At 36.7% G+C, this 19,903-nt stretch overlaps 1 protein-coding gene across 31 annotated transcripts in view; it reads right to left on the bottom strand.

The window, feature by feature from the left end:
• CNTN4 (contactin 4) overlaps positions 1–19,903 on the bottom strand; it is a 959,094-nt gene that overhangs the window by 707,740 nt on the left and 231,451 nt on the right. For all 31 annotated transcript variants that reach the window (XM_017005783.2, NM_001350095.2, XM_047447536.1 and 28 more), the window contains one exon: positions 10,987–11,042. The gene's annotated coding sequence lies outside the window, so the exon portion shown is untranslated. The remainder of the gene's footprint in view (positions 1–10,986; positions 11,043–19,903) is intronic.

Here is a 19,903-nt window from a genome sequence, read left to right as displayed (position 1 = left end):
ATCTACCTACTCTGAAGACAGCTGTGACTATGGCTCTCCTTTTAAAACTTCATTCTCCTAGCAAGGATCTAGTTAGATTTCATCTTATCTCTAATCTTTTATTTCAAAGGTGGATGAAAAGGTAAAACAACCACGATGACTTCTCTAAGACACATTTAGTCCCTGACCTTTGAGACAAGCGCCTGTCTCACTTCAAAATAGATCTTAACGGCAAGGGTGGATTGCTCTAAGTCTGTTCCCTGTCCCTCACAGGCTCAGAGATATGTTAATATCATCCTGTTGTATGCTATTTCATCCTGTTCATATAAAGTTGACTGTTGTTTCTCTTCCATTTCAGGGCACCAATCCTCAGGTTTAAGCTTCTCCAATTTCTCTAGCTTGTTTCGGGTTGTTTCAACATTCTCAATGTGTTATATAGGTCCATTAGTACTCCAAGATCTTAGTTCACTTTGCATTGGTATGTCTCCACTGGGTAAGATTATCTGAGTCCACGTGTTTGCAAAATCAGAGCTATGCTAATATTCTGCAGATAGTCCATCATTCCCTACAAGCTTGGATTTTTCATAATTTTCTCTACAAGTTCAAACAAATGTATCATTTTTACATTTTCCTTAAAATTTTCATGGATAAAACATGAACTGACAGCAATTCATTGGCAACCTAGGTAATATCTGTTAGTACATCTTTGACTGTGTTGCTGAAATCATGGAGTCTGATTCTGAGACCACTTTTAAAGAGGATACTCTAAAGGGAATTACATTGTGTTCTTCTGGGTGACTTATGAAGTTTACAGTCCTTCATTTCACGTGCAATTAGAAGGGTTATTGTGTACTAAATGTTCTAAAGACTGTTTTGCAATTTTGAAGAGCTACTATGTGTCTTAGTTTAAACATGAAAAGGTTAAAAATGTACCCTAATTTACTTATGTAAAAGGCAGTAGTGCAGGCTGGCTTCAGAAGGTCATGTGAAAAAAAAAATACGTCAACAAGCACTTTGTTAATATTAACTCTTGAGACCCTTAAAATGGCAAACATAATTGCATTCATTTCTAGGTATAATAAGATATGATGGTTCTTTATATACAGATGCATATAAAATATTTACCAAACCAGTTCGGGTAAAACATTTATTGCAATAATGTAAATTTTAAAAGACTTCAGCTGGAAATAATTAAAGAATCAAATATTATAGTACTGAGGACAAAGTTGTATCTTTCCTAAAAGCTCATCAGATTTAAACTTGCTTAGCTTGGAGAAGAGAATGCATTTATCTAAGGCATATAGTTTCAACTGCTGATTTTATAGATGGGGAAGCTTGAGCCCAAGAAAGTTTAATGACTTGTCTAACATGACACAATTGATTAATATCAAAATGGAAAGAAGACAAGAGACCTGGTATTAATTCTTGTTTTTCTTCGTATTAGTTCATATTAAGATATGAGTCATAGGGTTAAAAGAGCATTGTGGATAATGCAACTTGAATAATTTTTTATAGGCTAGGAAGCTGATGTTAGAAACTTCCAGTTTTGAAAACATAATGAACCCAGCTAATATAGATCAATGACCACCTAAAGGCACAGAAAAATAATGAATAAAATATAAGTAAAACAATTTAAAAAAATCTATCAAGTTTAAGGAAAGGAAATGGAATGCTGAAGGTCTGATAAAGGAACAGAGGAACTGAAGACTCTGCAATAAGTTTCAGTTAATGTGGTGGTGGTTCAGGGACAGGGTGGTTCTCGCTATAGGCCTGAGGGCTGGTGAGCCAGGGTTTTGATGTCTAAGGAGGGACAGGAGACATAGTCTTCCAAGCACAGGGAGATATATCTAAAGTCCCTATATAAAACACAGATTCCCTAAATCCATGAAAAGAAGGTAGAAAAATGATGCAAATGGCCTGAACAAGAAGTGAGGAATTCTGTTGTCTTTGGACTCAATATGACCCCTATAAGAAATAAAAACCTCACGGCTGGGCCAAGCGTTAAGTATATGATCTAATTTACTCTACTTATAAAATGCAAGAAGTTAACAAAAACTGATATGTGACCTTTTATATCCTAAAGACTCAATAAAAGCAAAAGCAGAACCACTCTTGGGGAATGCTGTCACAACACAGAGTTCACAACATTCCCAAAGAAAGGAAGTAGTTCACTAAGGTGGGCTCAAACTATAAAATTACGAACTATATGTGGAAATAAAAACTACCATGAAAAAATTCAGTTGGCACAGTAAAAGAAACATACAGTATAAACAATAAAAATAATAAAAGATTAATGAACATGAGGAGAAATTAAGAGTATGTAAAGGAATTACAAATAAAAAGGAACTGAATCCATGATAAAGCAAGAAAACATGACTTAAAAAAAAGATAAACCAAAAAGAGCTTCTAAAAATTAAAACAAGAAATTGAAATTAAAAAAAAAAATGAACATTTGGAGTAGCCGTGCAGTGCTTTTCATAAATACTACAGTTCTCCTTTGTTTCCAGGTGCATATTAAGATTGTATTTCCTGGCCAGGCATGGTGGCTCACGCTTGTAATTCCAGCACTTTGGGAGGCCGAGGTGGGTGGATCACCTGAAGTCAGGAGTTTGAGACCAGCCTGGCCAACATGGTGAAACCCTGTCTCTACTAGAAATACAAAAATTAGCTGGGTGTGATGATGGGCACCTGTAATCCCAGTTACTAGGGAGGCTGAGGCAGGAGAATCACTTGAACTCGGGAGGTGGAGGTTGCAGTCAGCCGAGATGGTGCCACTGCACTCCAGACTGGGCGACAGCGAGATTATGTCTCCAAAAAAAAAAAAAAAAAAGATTGTATTTCCTTATAGCCTTTGGAGTCATCCATTGGCTTCTTTTGCTAGTGGAATATGAGGAAAAATGACGTGTGTCAATTCCGGGAGGAAGCTTTCTGAGCCAGTTTATGATTCCACAGGTTTTCTTTATTTTGCCTTCACATTCCCAGATGGTGCCTCCACCAAGACAGAGCTCCCCTGTTAACTTTCATTGAGAATGTTGCATGAGAGAGAAATAAACTTTTCTTGTTTTAATCCATGACACTTGGGGCTGTTTGCTAATAATGCAGCATGAACTAGCCATCCTGATGATACAAAAGTTAAGTAGCAGAATAGACACTGATGAACAACAAATTTAAAAACTGAAGGACTCCAGAGGAATTTTCTTATAATGCAAAATGAAGACATAAAGAAAAAAGTGAAAGGCTAGCTAGGAGTTATGGATAGGAGAAATAAATGGTCCAAATATGTTTAAGAATGCAGAAAAGAGACAACAAAAGTAATTTTAGAAATACCAATATTCACATAAATAATAAATGAGAATTTTCTACAACTGGAAAAAAGTGTGTCCTGAGGTTGGAAAACAGAATAGCGTAAGAGAAAAACTCAACAAAAATGCATACTTGGACTTATCATTGTGAAACTGCAGAACTCCAAATGTAAGAAATATCTTAAAAGTGAGCAGGAAAGAAAAAGACAGATCACATACATAAGCATATCAATTTGACTAACAGCAGATTTCATTATCTGTAGTAATAAAGGATAGAAAACAATACAACAATATCTTCATGGTATTGAGGGGAAAATACCATTAACTAAGAATTCCAATCCTAGCTTAACATTATTCAAAAATAACAGCAAAAGAAAAATATTTAGTGATACAAAAAAATTAGAGAGTTTACCATTAAAAGAAGCTACTAAAAATTTAATAGGAACTTTTGAGCAAAAGGAAGTGGGATGCTGGAAGCAATGATAAGAAATAAACTGGTCAGTATATAAGAAAATCTATGTAAGTTAAAACCTGAATGTATTAAATATAATAATAATTACTAAGAGGAAGAAAAAGTTGAGCTAAAATAATATGCATAGAAAATAACTTGGAACTTTGAGTGATACAATTTGAGTTAAAGAATTTTAGGTTTTATTTGGGAACATTAAATTTGACTTTGCTAAGGTTAAAATTTGGCAGAGCACACTAAAAATGAAAACAGTGAAACGTCCGAAATAATAAGAAATTAATGGAATTAAGAAAACCAGTTAATTTAGAAGAAGGTGGAAAAGCATTTAGAAACAAAAATCCTGACACAAAGTAAGGTGATGGAAAGAATGTTAAAAATATTTCAGGAATCAAAATAAGTGCAAAAAAATTCAATTCCCTTAGTAAAAAAGAAGGGGGGAAAATTCACACTGAAAAAATCCAACTACACGCTGCTGAAAGGAGATACACCTAAACTAAACATAAAGGTTGAAAACAAATTAGAAAGGAAATCTCAGGCAAATTTAATTTAAATGAAGTAATATTTTGTCAACAAGCATCATCAGGAATAAAAAGAGGATCACGCCATAATGGTCAAAGGATTAATTCGTCAAATTTATAGAAGCTCGGTGCCCACTCATCATCAGTAGCCTATCAGAGGGTCACACAATAAATTAGTTGTGGTGCGGAACTATAAGCTCTGCTTCTCGATCATAATATTCTCTTCCTTTCCTTTACAGTACTTAGCACAATATGTATTTTTTCTACTTGTATGTTATCAGTCCCCCTATTAGACAGCAAACTCAAAATTCCAGAAGATATACATATATTATTTGGCACCATATCACCTGGTCCTAATACATGTTCTGGCATGTACTTAGCTTCCCAAAAATAGTTGTTGGGAGAACAAATGACACCCATGCTCCTGATATTCCGGCCATTCAACATAGCATAATCCTTTCCATTAACCATAAGGAAAAGCATAAAACATCACTTGGATCAAATGGAGCAATTCATATACATATTTTTCCATACTTAAGATTAAAAATTTCTGCTTAACATTACAGCTTATAAAATACTTCACAGAATAACACAATTATCCCTTATATTTCCAGATGATAATTTTCATTTCAATTTCCAAAAACAAACTTTTTAAAAAAGAATCTCTAAAATGTGTCTGAAAGGGTAAAAAAAAATCATAAAAATGATAGACAATTGAATCACACATTTTCAGGCAATGGCTTATTTTCTTATTGGCAGCAGCTTAAATTGTATTCAGAAGCATATGCATGGAACATTTTAATGTAAGGCCACAGGGATGTGTTCTCTTAGTTCTAACATCTCACTTACAGCATGTTAATACTCCTCTCTCAGCACAGGTAATGTTACCTCTGCCAGGGAAAGCTCTGTCAACTACCAAGAGAAACACAGAAAGAATAAAAATCATGTTTCTCTGTCAACTATTTCCCTGACATCAAAAGTCCCTCGGGGGCTGATTAAATTCATTAAGTGCTAACAGAAATTCTAGGCATTCTTTTCTTTCTGGCTAAGATGCCAGGAAGAGAAAAGCCAACCCTGGAACAGTTGAACTGCCAAAAATCTAATGTGATAGCCTAATATTTACAACCAAATAATACTAATTATAAAAGTATCAGTTATGGAGGGTCTATTTCCTAACTGGAACCACAGTAGGTTCATGATATTTATTTTTCCTAAGCTAACAAAAGAGCTAATCAGTACCCTTATTTTACATTTTGAGAAATATGAGAGAGGTAGTCAGTAAAATATTTAGAATAGAAATTCATTCCTGTCTGACCCCATCATTCAGAATCTCAGTATGAAACCATGAATCCTGATGTTTAAATTTTTTTCCTGGGCCAGGCACCGTGGCTCACGCTTGTAATCCCAGCACTTTGGGAGGCTGAAGCGGGTGGATCATGAGGTCAGGAGTTTGAGAGTAGCCTGGCCAACATAGTGAAACCCCATCTCTACTAAAAATACAAAAATTAGCTGGGTGCGGTGGCAGACGCCTGTAATCCCAGCTATTCACGAGGCTGGGGCAGGAGAACTGCTTGAACCCAGGAAGGAGGTAGAGGTTGCAGTGAGCCGAGATCACACCACTGCACTCCAGCCTGGGCAACAGAGCTAGATGCCATCTAAAAAAAAAAAAAAAATTTGACCTGGCCTTTGGCCTTGGCAGTCAGGTCAGACAGGACTCTCAGGAAGGCAGTGTGTGTGGATTTGAATGACAATCTGCTTATTTTGTTATATCACTGATATAGTTTGGATGTTTGTCCACTCCAAATGTCGTGTCGAAATCTGACCCCTAGATGGGAGGTGGGGCCTAGTGCGAGGTGTTTGGGCCATGGGGGGAAGACTGTTCATGAATGACTTGGTGCCATTCCTTGGGTAATGAGTAAATTCCTGCTGTATTAGTTCATGCAAGAGCTGTTTGTTTTTAAAAGAGATTCGCCTCTCTCTTGCTCCCTCTCTGACCTTGTGGCATGCCTGCTGCCCCTTTGCCCTCTGTCATAATTGTAAGTTTCCTGAGGCTGTCACCACACACAGATGCTGGTGCCATGCTTCTTGTACAGCTGGAAGAACCATGAGCCAAGTAAACCTCTTTCCTTGTAAATAACCCAGCCTCAAGTATTCCTTTTCAGCAATGCAAAAAAGACTGAGAATGTCACCATAGCTATGTTGCCAGTGGAGGGTCTTGACTATGAGTTGTCCAGGTTCTTGGCATTTTGAACAAAGAATAGGACAAAACACACAAAGCAACAAAAGAATGAAGTAATGAAAGCACAGGTTTATTGAAATGAAAGTGTACTCCACATAGTGAGAGCAATCTTGAGCAAGTGGCTCAAGAGCACTGGTTACAGAATTTTCTGGGGTTTACCCTCTAGAGGTTTCCCACTGGTTACTTAGTTACACTATGTAAATGAAGGAGTGACCCGCGACCAGTCTCACTGGTTGCAGAGAGTGACCAATAAGAGACTGAAGTGAAGTTACAAAGTTACACCCTATGCAAACGTCTGATTGGTTGCAGGAGGGGGCAAATTAGAGGCTGAAGTGAAGTTACAAAGTTACACATGAAGACTTGGCCCGTGACCAGTGTGACTGGTTGCAGGAGAGAACCAATCAGAGGTACTTTCCATTTTTCATCGGCAATGCAGTACAAAGGGAGTAGCCTCTAATCCCTTTGTTAATTGGTTGTGGGGAGGTGGGGTTTTCCTTTTGATTCAGTTGTAGGAAGTCAGTGCAAATTGCCCTTAGGTTTACCCTGCCTCCAGACCCTATTCTCCTGCCTCAGCTGAAGATGAAATTTTGTCTTCCTAAAACATATATTTCCTTATTACTTTATTGAGATGTAATTCACATACCATAAAATTCACCACTCACTGCACAATTTAGTGGTTTTTAGTGTATTCACAAGGCTTTACAGCCATCACTACTCTCTAATTCCAAAACATTTTCATCACCTCCAAAAAGAAATCGTAGCAGTCAGTCACTGCCCGCTTGCATCTCTCCTTAGTTTCTGGAAACTATTAATCTACTTTCTGTCTCTATAGTTTTGCCTATTCTAGGTATTTCTTATACATGTATATTAGTCCATTCTCATGCTGCTAAAATAGACATACCTGAGACTGAGTAATTTATAAAGGAAAGAGGTTTAATTGACTCACACTTCAGCATGACTGGGGAGGCCTCAGGAAACTTAAAATCATGGTGGAAGGAGAAGCCAACAAAGTCCTTCTTCACATGGCAGCAGGAAGAATAGTGAGAGTGAAGTGAGGGGAAAGACCCTTCTAATACTATCAGATCTCATGAGAACTCACTCACTGTTACACGAACAGCATGAGGATCACTGCCCCCTTGATTCATTTACCTCCCACCGGCTCCCTCCCACGACAGGTGGGGATTATGGGAACTACAAGATGAGATTTGGGTGGGGACACAGCCAAACCATATCAACATGGAATCATATAATATATGACCTTTGGTGTCAGGCTTGTTTTATTTATAATATTTTCAAGGTTTATCCCAGTTGTTGCATGTATCAGTACTTCATATTGCTAATGTACCCTAACAAAAGATGAAAATTTTTGTACCAATCCAGAAAAAGAAGAATGTAACTGTCTTCTTCTATTTTCCCTATGAGTGCAGTTTAGACTAAATTGTCTAGCATTAATAAAGTAACCTAACATGACCCAAGCCTATGAAGAATATCACAGTCTCCATTTTACAGATGTGTAAAAAAAAGAGGTCAGAGAGATTATCTGTTCAAATATTACATGCAGGAATTCAAGTACAGAGCTTTGAAAACAAAGCCAAAATTATTTTTACTTAGTTGATGGATATATAATAAGAACATCTAAATGGCCCATTCAACCACTGACACTTCTTTGTTCAGACATTTAGAAGCAAAGCTAAGCCTCCACACTGTATCAATCCATGTATCTTTGGGTAGCTAAGGATATTAAACTCAAGTGTCTACTGGGGCTAGAAGATAGCAAATGGCATGGTGTGACGAACTGGAGAGGGCACTGGAAGGCTGCTATTGTTCAGCTAAGCCCTCTTTGTCATCTGGAAATGCATTGTCCAGGATAGAAAGTTATTATGATTTCTTTTAGGAGAATTTAAAAAATCATTTTATGTAAAATCTCCAAATTTTTAAGTGCTGGCAACAAGTTAAACTTTATTTTTATTTTTGAAATTACTATGTTAAAAAGAGCTATTATGTAAATCAAATTAACTGTTTTGGGGATATTCTGTCCCACAGACTACAACTTTTACAATCTGTGGTAGAGGAAGAAAGGCCAGGGTGGCACCACAGGGTGCCTGGGCCCTCTTTGAGTAGAGTCCAAGGGGCATCATCAAAATGAGAGGAAACCTACCTCCTGCCTTTCAGTCCAAATTCTGGAAAGTTTCAACAACTTAAATTTTAAGAGAGGAATTAGAATAGGGAAGATGTCATTAAATCTTTCATTCTGTCCATGGATAGTTATGGAAGACATCATCTGTGCATGCACTGCTAGGTTCTTGGAATACCATGAAGAACAAGAAGATGCAATCACTGGCTTCAGAAGTTCACAGTGGGAGGGTAAGATAATTAAGCTAGCAATTACAAGACAATGTGAATATCATATTGTTTACACTGATGTTGGCACAAGAGGGAAGCCTCACCCTAACAGGGATATGAGTTCAGTATCTTCAGCTACACAAAGATATATGAATGAATAGGATCAAAGAAACCAGAGCAGTATTCATAAAGGAAATACATTTTCAAGTGGAATAAAAAGATGGAAAGAAAGAATATTCCAAGGAGAAGGAACAGAGTAAGTAAAAGCAAGGGAAAACACAGCACATCTAAACAAGCTTGAGGACACTCAGAGTATCTTGGAATAATGTTGCTGCCTTAAGAAAGATGGTTCCTGCTGGAGGAGAGGGACCTTGTGGAGCAGCTTGCACTGACCTGTGAGCTGCGCTCAGACCAAGGAGCATACCCAGTCAATACTGCAGAGTCTGTTCCAGATCAGAAGACCCAAGCAGCTGATCCCAAAGACTCATAGGAAATAATAAAGTTACTGTTTTTAGCCACTGAGTTTTGGGGTGGTTTGTTACAGAACAATAGCCAGTTGGTTAAAAAACACCTTACTCAACCTTAGCTCATGAAAAATACCTGAAGAATCAAGTGAAATAAATTTCTGACTCTCTCTCTCTCTCTCTCTCTCTCTCTCTATATATATATATATATATATATATAAAATTTATGACAAGGTCTTGCTCTGTCACCCAGGCTACAGTGCAGTGGTGCAATAACAACTCGTTGCAGCCTTGACCTCCCAGGCCCAAGTGATCCTTTCGCTTCAGCTTTCCCAGTAGTGGGACTACAGGCATGCACCACCATATCCGGCTAAATTTTCCTGTTTTTCATAGAGACAGGGTCTCACTGATGTCCAGGATTATTATTTTTTTTAACTGAGGGTGTTAAAAATCTGAGAATCAGAATTATATACTAATATTTTACCCAATGTTATCAAACCCTGTACCGAATAATTTTTATCTTGCTTGGGAGAAAAGCTGGCCATCAAGAGATAATTATTATATCATTAAAATAAACAGCATTTTATGTATACCAATGGAATGAGACCTTCCTCCACTCCATGTTATGATTATTTTCCCATAAATACATTGTTAACAATAATTAACTTTAATTTCACTAGACTCTCTTTTTAGGCATACTGTTATGAGTGAATTAGATGTCCCTAAAAGATCTGTTGAAATCCTAATCTCCAAAATCTGTGAATGTGACTTTTTAAAAAGGATCTTTACAGATAAAAATCAAGTTAAGATGTGATCATATTAGATTAGCATGGGCCCTAATTCAATGACTGCTATCTTCCTAAGAAGAAGAATATTTGGACACACATAGGGGAGACAGCCACGTGAACTGAAGATAGAGGCAGAGATTTGACTGATGCATCTGAAGCCAAGGAACACCAAACATTGCCAGCAACCACCAGAAGCTAGAGGAAGCAAAGAGATTCCTCCTTAAGAGCCTTCAAAGAGAGAGCATGTTCCTGCTGAGAGTTTCATTTCAAACTTGTAGATTCCACAAATGTGAGAGAATAAGTTTCCATTGTTTTAAGCCACCAGTTACTTTATTGGATCAGCATCAGGAAAGTAAAACATAACCATTTTACTGTTTTACATCTATATATTTTATTAAGGAAAAAATTTGCATACATTGTAGACAGTGAGTTACATTTCTCATGTTTTATCCCTTCAAAAGCTTCAACTTTTAAGATCTGAGTATTTATAGGACTGCGTTAACTTAATATTTGTGTTGGTTTGACTGCTAAAACATCCTCTCCTATGAAACCATTTGGCAAAAGTACAACAACTTTATTCCCAATATACACTTTCTATGATTACAAATTCTAAAATTTTTGGATTATCAAATTAATCTAAACTACAGAAAACCTACCTTAAGTATCTTCTCCAGAGAGAAATGTAAATAGTCCCTATTTCTTAGTTTCAGGCTTTAATTTATGTAACTTCACTACTTTCATTAATTTCAACATTCATAAAAACATCAAAAACAATCTCATGCTATCACTCTGTAAGGGAAGGTTTTCAATGTTTCCATAGAAACTAAGGATGCTAATCAAGGTGAACTACACATAAGGAAAATCTTCCCTTGTGGGAAGCTTACCTTTTAGGGAAGCTCTTGAAGACACATGCTGTGGAGTTACTCTATGTCAATGATTCCTAGAATAAAAAGAAAAAATACACAAATAAATACATTTTTTCAAGCATAGATAGGCTTATGGGTAGGTGATGCTTACCTGTAATCTTCCCGGTCTAAAATTAAATCAGATTGGATTAGGACAAAGTAAAAATTAAATACATTTGGTATAGATTTCCAGCTTAATAGAATTGTGTAGATTAGGATCCAGGATCCATTCTCCGCCTTGCCTCCCATGAGCTGAGTGACTTTTGAGAAGGTCATCACCACTCTATCTTTCCCTTGTTAGTATGATGGCTCTAGGAGCCTGCAATATTTTATGGCATTCAGATTCAATAAAAGAGACAATTTCTTAAGAGGGTACATTAAAAGGATTTTAAAATAATAAAAATTGAGCAATAAATGGAGACGTCATCGTTTTTGTTAGGTATATGAATACATAAAATGAGGGTACCTAACAAAAACAAACACTCTTCACATAAATTGTACATTCTCTTAAAGCTACCGACTTAAACTTTAATTGTGAAATAATTTTTGCCTCACAATATTTTTCCCTGAAGAACTAAATTTATTTTCCCTATAAATATATATATAAATACACACACACTTAATTTTACGTAGAATAAAGGTATATATTTATGTTTTCATGTTTATTCATATGTGTATCCTCTAACCAAGTTTCTGCTATAGATCACTTCTTTGTAAAATAACTGTCTTATAGTTTTAATAACTGAAAATAAAATTTTATGTAGATATATATAATATAGATTAGCTAATCAGAAATATCTTTAATCATACTATTCTACTCTGGCTTATTCTTAAATATAACATAATTGATTGGATAAAAATGTTATAGTTTCTTGATTAGCCATAAAAACATGATCTTTTCTTAAGTGTATGCCTTCTCTGGCTGAATTGCAAAATAATTCATCTCTATATTAAATACCTAACTACCTTTACTCTCAGGATAATATCGATAACAACCAGAAGGTAGAGACTAAACAGGTATTCTTCATATTGCTAATATATTCAGAAATGTAAAATAATCCCTGACCTTTCTCATATACCCCTAAAACAAATACAATTTCATAAATGATGACATGTGTAAGAAAATGTTTCCTATGGATTATGAAAAATTATATATTCACATTAATTCTGAATCACAAATACATCACCATCTGTTTGGTTTTAATATGGTCAGTTACCAGCTGTATATACATTAGTCAGCTACAAAAGTTTAGTATGTATCTAAACACCTATCTTTCTTACATTAAGGACAGCAACTGATGTAAAACTAAAGCTCTATTTACAGCTATTGGCACCATTTGCAACTCCAGCCTACCTATCAATAACAATTAAAATTATAATAATCCTACAGACATCGGTCAAAGTTTTTTGTTTTTTCAAATATTACTAAAAATTTGTCATATATATTTTTTCTTCTTCACAGAAAGAAGGTAGAGATTACATTTACCCTATCCAGTGGAATAATACTTGAAATGAAAACTTAATTTTATTCATTAAAATAATTATGTTGTTCTTGTTTGAGAACATAAGCTCCGGGATAAATTTCTTGGGATGGGATATTGGTTCAATTTATTACTAATCATGTGATCTTGAACAATTCTTTAATTGATATAATCCTCAATTCTATTTTTAAAGTGGGGACAATAACAGTATTCATCCTCAAAGGATTATTTCAATCCTCAAATTAATAATTAAATTACATAATGCAGACTAGCTATTCAGTTTAGCCACTAGTTATAGTATCCACTAGTAGCAGTAACATTGGCAAGAGATTCTCATACATTATGGATAGTTTCATGCATGGTGACTGTACACACAAAAAGCAGTATCAGCACCACAAGAAAACATATGTTCCCAAATACTTGCCCATTATAGAAAACATTATTAAATTCACTCCTTTGATTTTTGTAATTGCATCCAGAGGGAATCCTGGCCAAAAGAACTTATCTGTTGGGTGAACTAACATATCATGAATGCATTTATCAGGTCAGTTAGCTACCACGGAGCAAAGAGCAATGCCAAAGAGAATAGAAAGCAGGATGGAAAGGTAAGAAGAGTGAGGGGGAATATATGGGACTGACCCCAAGAAGGCCTCTGAAACAATATCTCCTTTGTAAAGAATGCATCCCACCTGTTGCTCCTGAAAAGACCAGCCCTATGTTCTACGTGATTCAACCTAATAGGCTACAGCTATTGAACCATCAATTAATACTTGACCCACATTAAGTCAACAAGATTCTCTCTCAGAGATTTTGAATTGCAACACTTGAGAGTTTGAGGCATGTAAAGTTGGAATTATTGTTAAAGAAGCCAGTCTTGAGAGAACCAGAAAAATAAGACTTTAGAGAAAACCAGAGTTAGGATTACATACATCCTTACTCCTGATCCACATGAGAAATGAAGAACTGAAAATAGGGTAAAAGGTGAGGGGCAGCCACATTTCCTGACTTCCTAAGTCAAGTCCCCATGAGGTTAGGTTTTAGCTATAATTTTTTTATGCTTAGAAGACTATCATTTTGCCTGGCATATGGTTTCAACAACCCTTATTATGTGAGCTAGTTTAAGTTTCTGTATATTACAACTAAATGGTTACTAGTTAAGAAATCATAAGCCCACTGAAGCTAAGTTTTCTGTGAGTAATACAAAGTCCTGGCTTTGTGCCTGTAGAAATGAGGCAGACAAATAAGTGAGCAATGAATACAAATAAGTCACAATGCTAACAACCTACAAATTTGTAAGGAAATTCCATATATAAAAATTCCTGGCTCATGAATATGAATCATAATCAACTGTTCCTTTACTATCATAGACCAATAGCTTTTACATTGACATTAATTTTTTTTATTCAAAAAGTATTTACTAGGAGAAAAGAAACAGACCAAGATTCCTGACCTCCTGGGATTTGCTGTCAAAATAAAATTACTACTCTACTCTGCCACCTCCCCCCCCCAAATAAACAACAAACATCATCAAAATGTATCTAAAACAGTAAGAGAATATTACTTTTGAAATAATCCTTTTAACAAAACCATAACCTCTCAGGACCGTAATGGATCTTGTGCTCCAGTTACACTCAGCACATGTCTTTAGCATACCACTCATCACAAAATATTTATCACTGTTCGGCTTACCCCAAAACACACATACCTTTTACTGTGGGAAAGTATGTACCTGTGTTGTCTTATTCTTCAGTCTGAAGGTGTACAGTCTAGTACAACCTGGTCTAAAACAGGTGCTCCTTAAATGTATGCTCAATGATTGAATGGATCCAACGTATAGTCTTAGTTATTATAAACTAAGGGTTACGCCAAAATAAGTTCCACTTCCACAGTGGATTTTCATAACTGATCTTAAAAGAAAATATCTAATGATACCTCAGTTGATGTTGAGAAGTTGCTGATTATATAAGCAGGAATTATTTATTCACACCTCACTGGGAAAATGTTCAGTTGCTGTATTCTTGTTAGGGGAAAAAGTAGACATAGTTAAAACTTCCCATCTTAGGTTAGCCAGCATGAACAGAGATGATTCAAGTAGGTAGATACCCAATTTCATACCTTGAAAGAAGGTTAAAAAAAAAAAAAAAAAACCCACAGAATTTTTTTCTGGGCCGCTTTTGTGCTGCTTTACAGGGGGAAAGAAACTGAATCTATTGCACTTGATTGGCTAATAGTCTCTCCCTAGAGGCGAACACAAGGCAAGACCTTTCATTTTACCCACCTTCTTTAAGCTCAGCTTCCTTTCGAATAAAATGAGCCTAATGTACTCCTACCTTTAGCTGTTGTTTTGAGGCTAGACTGAGGTAATCCATGAGAACACTGCCCAGTTCATACTATGCAGAAAATAAATGCTATCATTATAATCATTTTTTTAATCATGAAAAATTCACTAAACTTTCCATGTTCAATCCATAACTTGTACCCGCTATCCTAAGTTAAAGTTTTTATTATAAACTAAATAAAATCACATGTGAAAATAGGCAGGAAATTAATACACAACCAGGTGAATAAATAGACGACTCTCCCTCTGCCCAGAAAGATTGGGTCCAATCTTTGAACAAATCAGCTGCTGTCAACATAAATGTACTCGCAATTTTACAACAAAGGAACCAGAAATCCATGAATGACTGCAGAGCTTCTCAGCTAATAGCAAATAGTTAGATGCAGCAGCTGGCAAGGTCTAGGTCAAAAAGGATGATTTTACCCTAGGGAACAAACAGTCCTGATCTAGACCCTTTCCAAATACCTCAAAACCAAAAGGTGTGTCGGTTATTTATTAAGAACAAAAACAACCCTTCCCAAGTGACAGGTAAGAGCATGAAAATAATTCTAACGAACATGTTCAAAAACCCAGATGCGGCATCTCTAAAGCTTTCAATTCTCACAGACATAGCATATAACATTAGGAGGGACCAAAGAGTGGTCTCTTTACTTTGCCTGTTAGAGTCAGACCTGGATTTGTCTAACAACAAATGTGTATGTGATCACCATTGATTACAAGTCTCCTATAATTGCGCTTAGTCACTCTGTACATTATGCCTTTAAATAATCAGTGGACAAAATATAGGTTCTAAAGTCATATTTGAGTCTAAGCTTTACCACGTTATTTGCTGCATGAACTCAACCAAGTTATATAACCTCTTGTAGTTTGTTGTTATCATCTGTAAGACAGGGCCAAAATTATCTACCTTGAAAGGTTCTTCAAAAGATAAAATGGGCCAGGTGCCGTGGCTCCTATCTGTAATCCCAGCAATTTGGAAGGCCGAAGGGGGCAGATCACTTGAGGTAAGAAGTTCAAGACCAGCCTGGCCAACATGATGAAACCCCATCTCTACTAAAAATACAAAAAATTAGCTAGATGTGGTAGCGCACACCTGCAATCCCAGCTACTTGGGAGGCTGAGGCAGGAGAATCGCTTGAACCTGGGAGGCAGAGGTTGCAATGAGCCAAGATCCTGCCACTGTACTCCACCCTGGGTGACAGAGCGAGACTCCATCTCAATAACAATAATAGATAAAATGAGACAAGCCAAACCAGTCTATAGCAGGTATTCAATTAATGATACTTGTTATTATTAACATTATTTGAATATCAAAGGATAGCCTAAAGTGAGAGGTAAGAGTTACCATTTAACAACTGTCCGTATTCTTAAAGGCCATTGTATTTAACAGGCTTTTCCTTATATTTCTCCTGTTTTGCTTAACTTATTGATGGCATTTTCCATCACAGAATCAGCAGGTTATTTCTCATGGGTATCTACTTCCTTCACAGGTAGTTAAAACCCAACCTGAATTTTCTGTGGGAGGTAAAGGTCATGTAGATACTAAATTATCCATGTTTATTTTCAGAATTTCCATTAGCTTTGCTTGATATAATTTAGTATTAACATCAGGGTTATTAAACTAATACTAAGCAACAGATTACATTTAAATGCATTTTTCAGTCAGAATTGGGATGCATTTCTAATCGTGCTGTCTAGCTCCAAGCAAACAAATGGTCATTTGATTCTTTTATCATTTCACAACGAATACTATCAACCACAGAGATCACTAATGGGTTCCCCACCACACACTCAAAGTAAACAAAATACAAGATGATACATAACAGGCTTTAGAGTTATTAAGAGATAATCACATCCTTGGGACTTTCATTGGGTACAATAAGTAGCACCACTAGAATATGATTATCTCTTGATAACAAGGGTCCCTACAGCTCTCACGAAGTGAGAAAAAAGTCATTACCTTAGGGAAAATGTGTATTTATTTCACTGAACCATAAAGCTGACAATTTAAGCTAATGAACAGTGGCTCTCCCTGAGATGACAGTATTACACAGTGTAGGAGGTTTCCTATCAAGGTGACACAGGCATCATCACCTTGAAGAACCTGCCTTGAAGAGCTATGTTTCTGGAAGTCTAATTTCTGGGTCTTGACTACAAGATAAACAGTTCTGGAAGACACTTAAGAGCCTAGGGATCTATGAATCTAAGACAGGGAGGGGATTGAGAACAGCAGTGGGAATGGCTTATGCTGCTCATCAGTTGTAAGGCCAGAAACTTGAGATTCTGAGCTTCACAAGTTGTCTTGATGTAACATAATTAGGACAGCTCATTGGAGAGGATAGAGACAGATGCTCCAGTCTATAGGACATCCCAGGGTGAACAACCAGTGACATCAACATAGGAAACTGCAGCACATGGTTTAGAATTTGGAGATCAGGAGAAAAACAGTCATGAGCCTTTGACACTGCTCTCGAGGATAGGAAAAAGTCTTATTTTTTTTTAATTTTATTTTATTATTATACTTTAAGTTTTAGGGTACATGTGCACAATGTGCAGGTTAGTTACATATGTATACATGTGCCATGCTGGTGTGCTGCACCCATCAAGTCCTCATTTAGCATTAGGTATATCTCCTAAAGCTATCCCTCCCCCCTCCCCACTCCCCCCACCCCACAACAGTCCCCAGAGTGTGATGTTACCCTTCCTGTGTCCATGTGTTCTCATTGTTCAATTCCCACCTATGAGTGACAATATGCGGTGTTTGGTTTTTTGTTCTTATATATAAAAGTCTTATATGTAAGAGCTTTACTTGAGGATTTTAATCAGCAAGAAAACTCTTCTCACCTAATACTACTCAGAACAGTGGTATTTTCTGATCTCCCTAACTCAGAATAGACAGAAGTTACTCTTCTTAAGTCTCTGTTTCTAATCAAATGGGTGAATAAAAACTCTTCTCAGAGTTACTGGGGAAATTAAAGAAAAGACTAAGTTGAAAGCATCCTGTAAATATAAAAGACTCTTTATCTGTCAGCTATTAATATTATACTTATTTGGAGAGATTACTTACGTAAACCTTAAAATGAGAAGAGAATACATCTCAAACATTCAGCCAGTGATGTGATTTGATTTTATTTGTAAAAGATAATGCTAGTCCAGGGAACACATTAAAAACCATCATACTGTAACATTACCGGAGCTGTAGTTGGCATTGTGGCCCATAAGTTACTATCCTGAAATCTAAAGTTTTCCAATATGTGCAAAGATATCATCAATCTCAAATATTTACAACAAAGAGCCTGTCACGCTGAACCCCTATCGACTCTAAAGGGGATGGCACCAGGTTCAAGAGACTGAAAAAGAGACCCAGGGCCAGCAAACAAGACATGGGATTTTACTGGAGCTTTACTTACCACGGAGAAAGGCCAGTGGTGTTGGGCTGGACAGGAGAATCGCCTTACAAACAGCCCAGTAGCAGTGGGCTAGACAAGATAACTCCGCAGCCCAGCGGCAGGGGACTGGGCAGGAAAACTACAATCATTTGCAAAGGGCATGCAGTTTATATAGCATTTTCACTCAGCACCCTTTCCCAAACAGTCTCCACCTGGCAACCTTCATTCAACCCAAAACTCGGGGTCTTGAGCCCCTGTGTGGCCTGAGTTCCAATAGACAGGCTGGAGGTTCAGATGTTCCTCATAGACAAGGAATGAATCTCCCTGTTGGCCATTCCCGAGTTCCTTAGCTTGGAACACACATTCAGGTGCATCTGCCATACAGGGTCATTCTCAGGGTATGCGTCATTTATTGCTATCAGGTGCACTTCATTTACCCTACAGAGCCAAAAATTCTATTGCTCTAAATCAGTGATTACATCTAAAGGTAATTTGTTGGCAAAGTCTGAAGACATTTTTGGTTGTCATAATCATAGGGAAGATGGGGTTTGTTACTGTCATCTCATGGGCAGATGATGGCAAAACTGCTAAGCACCCCACAATGTACAGGACCCTGTCCTTAATATAGACACCTACTCTGAGCACTTACTCAACTTGTATATGAATGGCTTGATTCACTAAGGGCCTACTTCTACAATGCAGTATCCTGAAAAACTACCTGAACTGCCTCTATATCCTAGAAACAAAGAAGGAAAATAAGTATCTTCAAAAAAAATTGAAGCCCATATCCAAGTGTAGGTAGGCATTTTAGCCCCTTCAATTTCAACTAAGGAAAATTATCAGATTTGGCTAAATACAATTCTGTCCTTCCCATTGGGAAACCATACAGGAAATGTCAATGTGCTGGCAATCTGCAGAACCAGAAAATGAAATTTTCCAGAGTTTACCATTATCACAAAAAAAGGCACAATTGTATGAAAACTTGTCACTCTACATTCCCAAGTCATCTATTATGCCAATTTTTGACATTCCACAACTGTTTAATGTGTCACATTATGTGATGTGATATAAAAGTGTACTGGACATTTATAATTTGATTTTTCCTAGAGGTGCTTGCCCCTTATCTGAGTATTAATTAACAACTTAGGGGAAAACAGTACCTACGTTTCTGTGAAGCAAAGAAAAACAATATAGAGCACAGGTCACAGAAAACAGCTATAGAATGCCAGAGTCTAACTATTTTCACAGGGATAATTTCATATACTCTAAGAAGAAATACAGCATAGAGTAATGATTGAGTCCAGAATCTGGGTTTTCAAAACCCAGCTCTTCACTTTCTAGCTGAGTGACCTTCCACAAATTACTTAGATTCTCTGTGTCTTATAAATGCCTCCCTTATAAAATTAAGATACTGACCCTCTTTTCCTCTGTGATATTGTGCTTTAGAATAAGAAATATATATTTGGTCTTCATTTCTTTCTTCTTCATTTCTTGACACAGAACTCCTAAAATCCCTGGAATCTCCAAAGTGATAAGTCTTTTAGAAGGGTAATGACTGGTGGCCCAAGACTCCTAAATAGCCTCAGGAGGGAAGAGGGGCTGAAGGTTGACTCAACCACCACTGGCCAATGGTTTAATCAATCATGCCTCTATAGTGAAGTCGCCATAAAAACCAAAAAGGACTGCAA

Source organism: Homo sapiens, chromosome 3 (genome assembly GCF_000001405.40).
Source record: "Homo sapiens chromosome 3, GRCh38.p14 Primary Assembly".
Lineage (NCBI taxonomy): Eukaryota > Metazoa > Chordata > Mammalia > Primates > Hominidae > Homo > Homo sapiens.
Note: the sequence above shows the minus strand (reverse complement) of the source record. Positions and strands in the feature narration are given on the sequence as shown.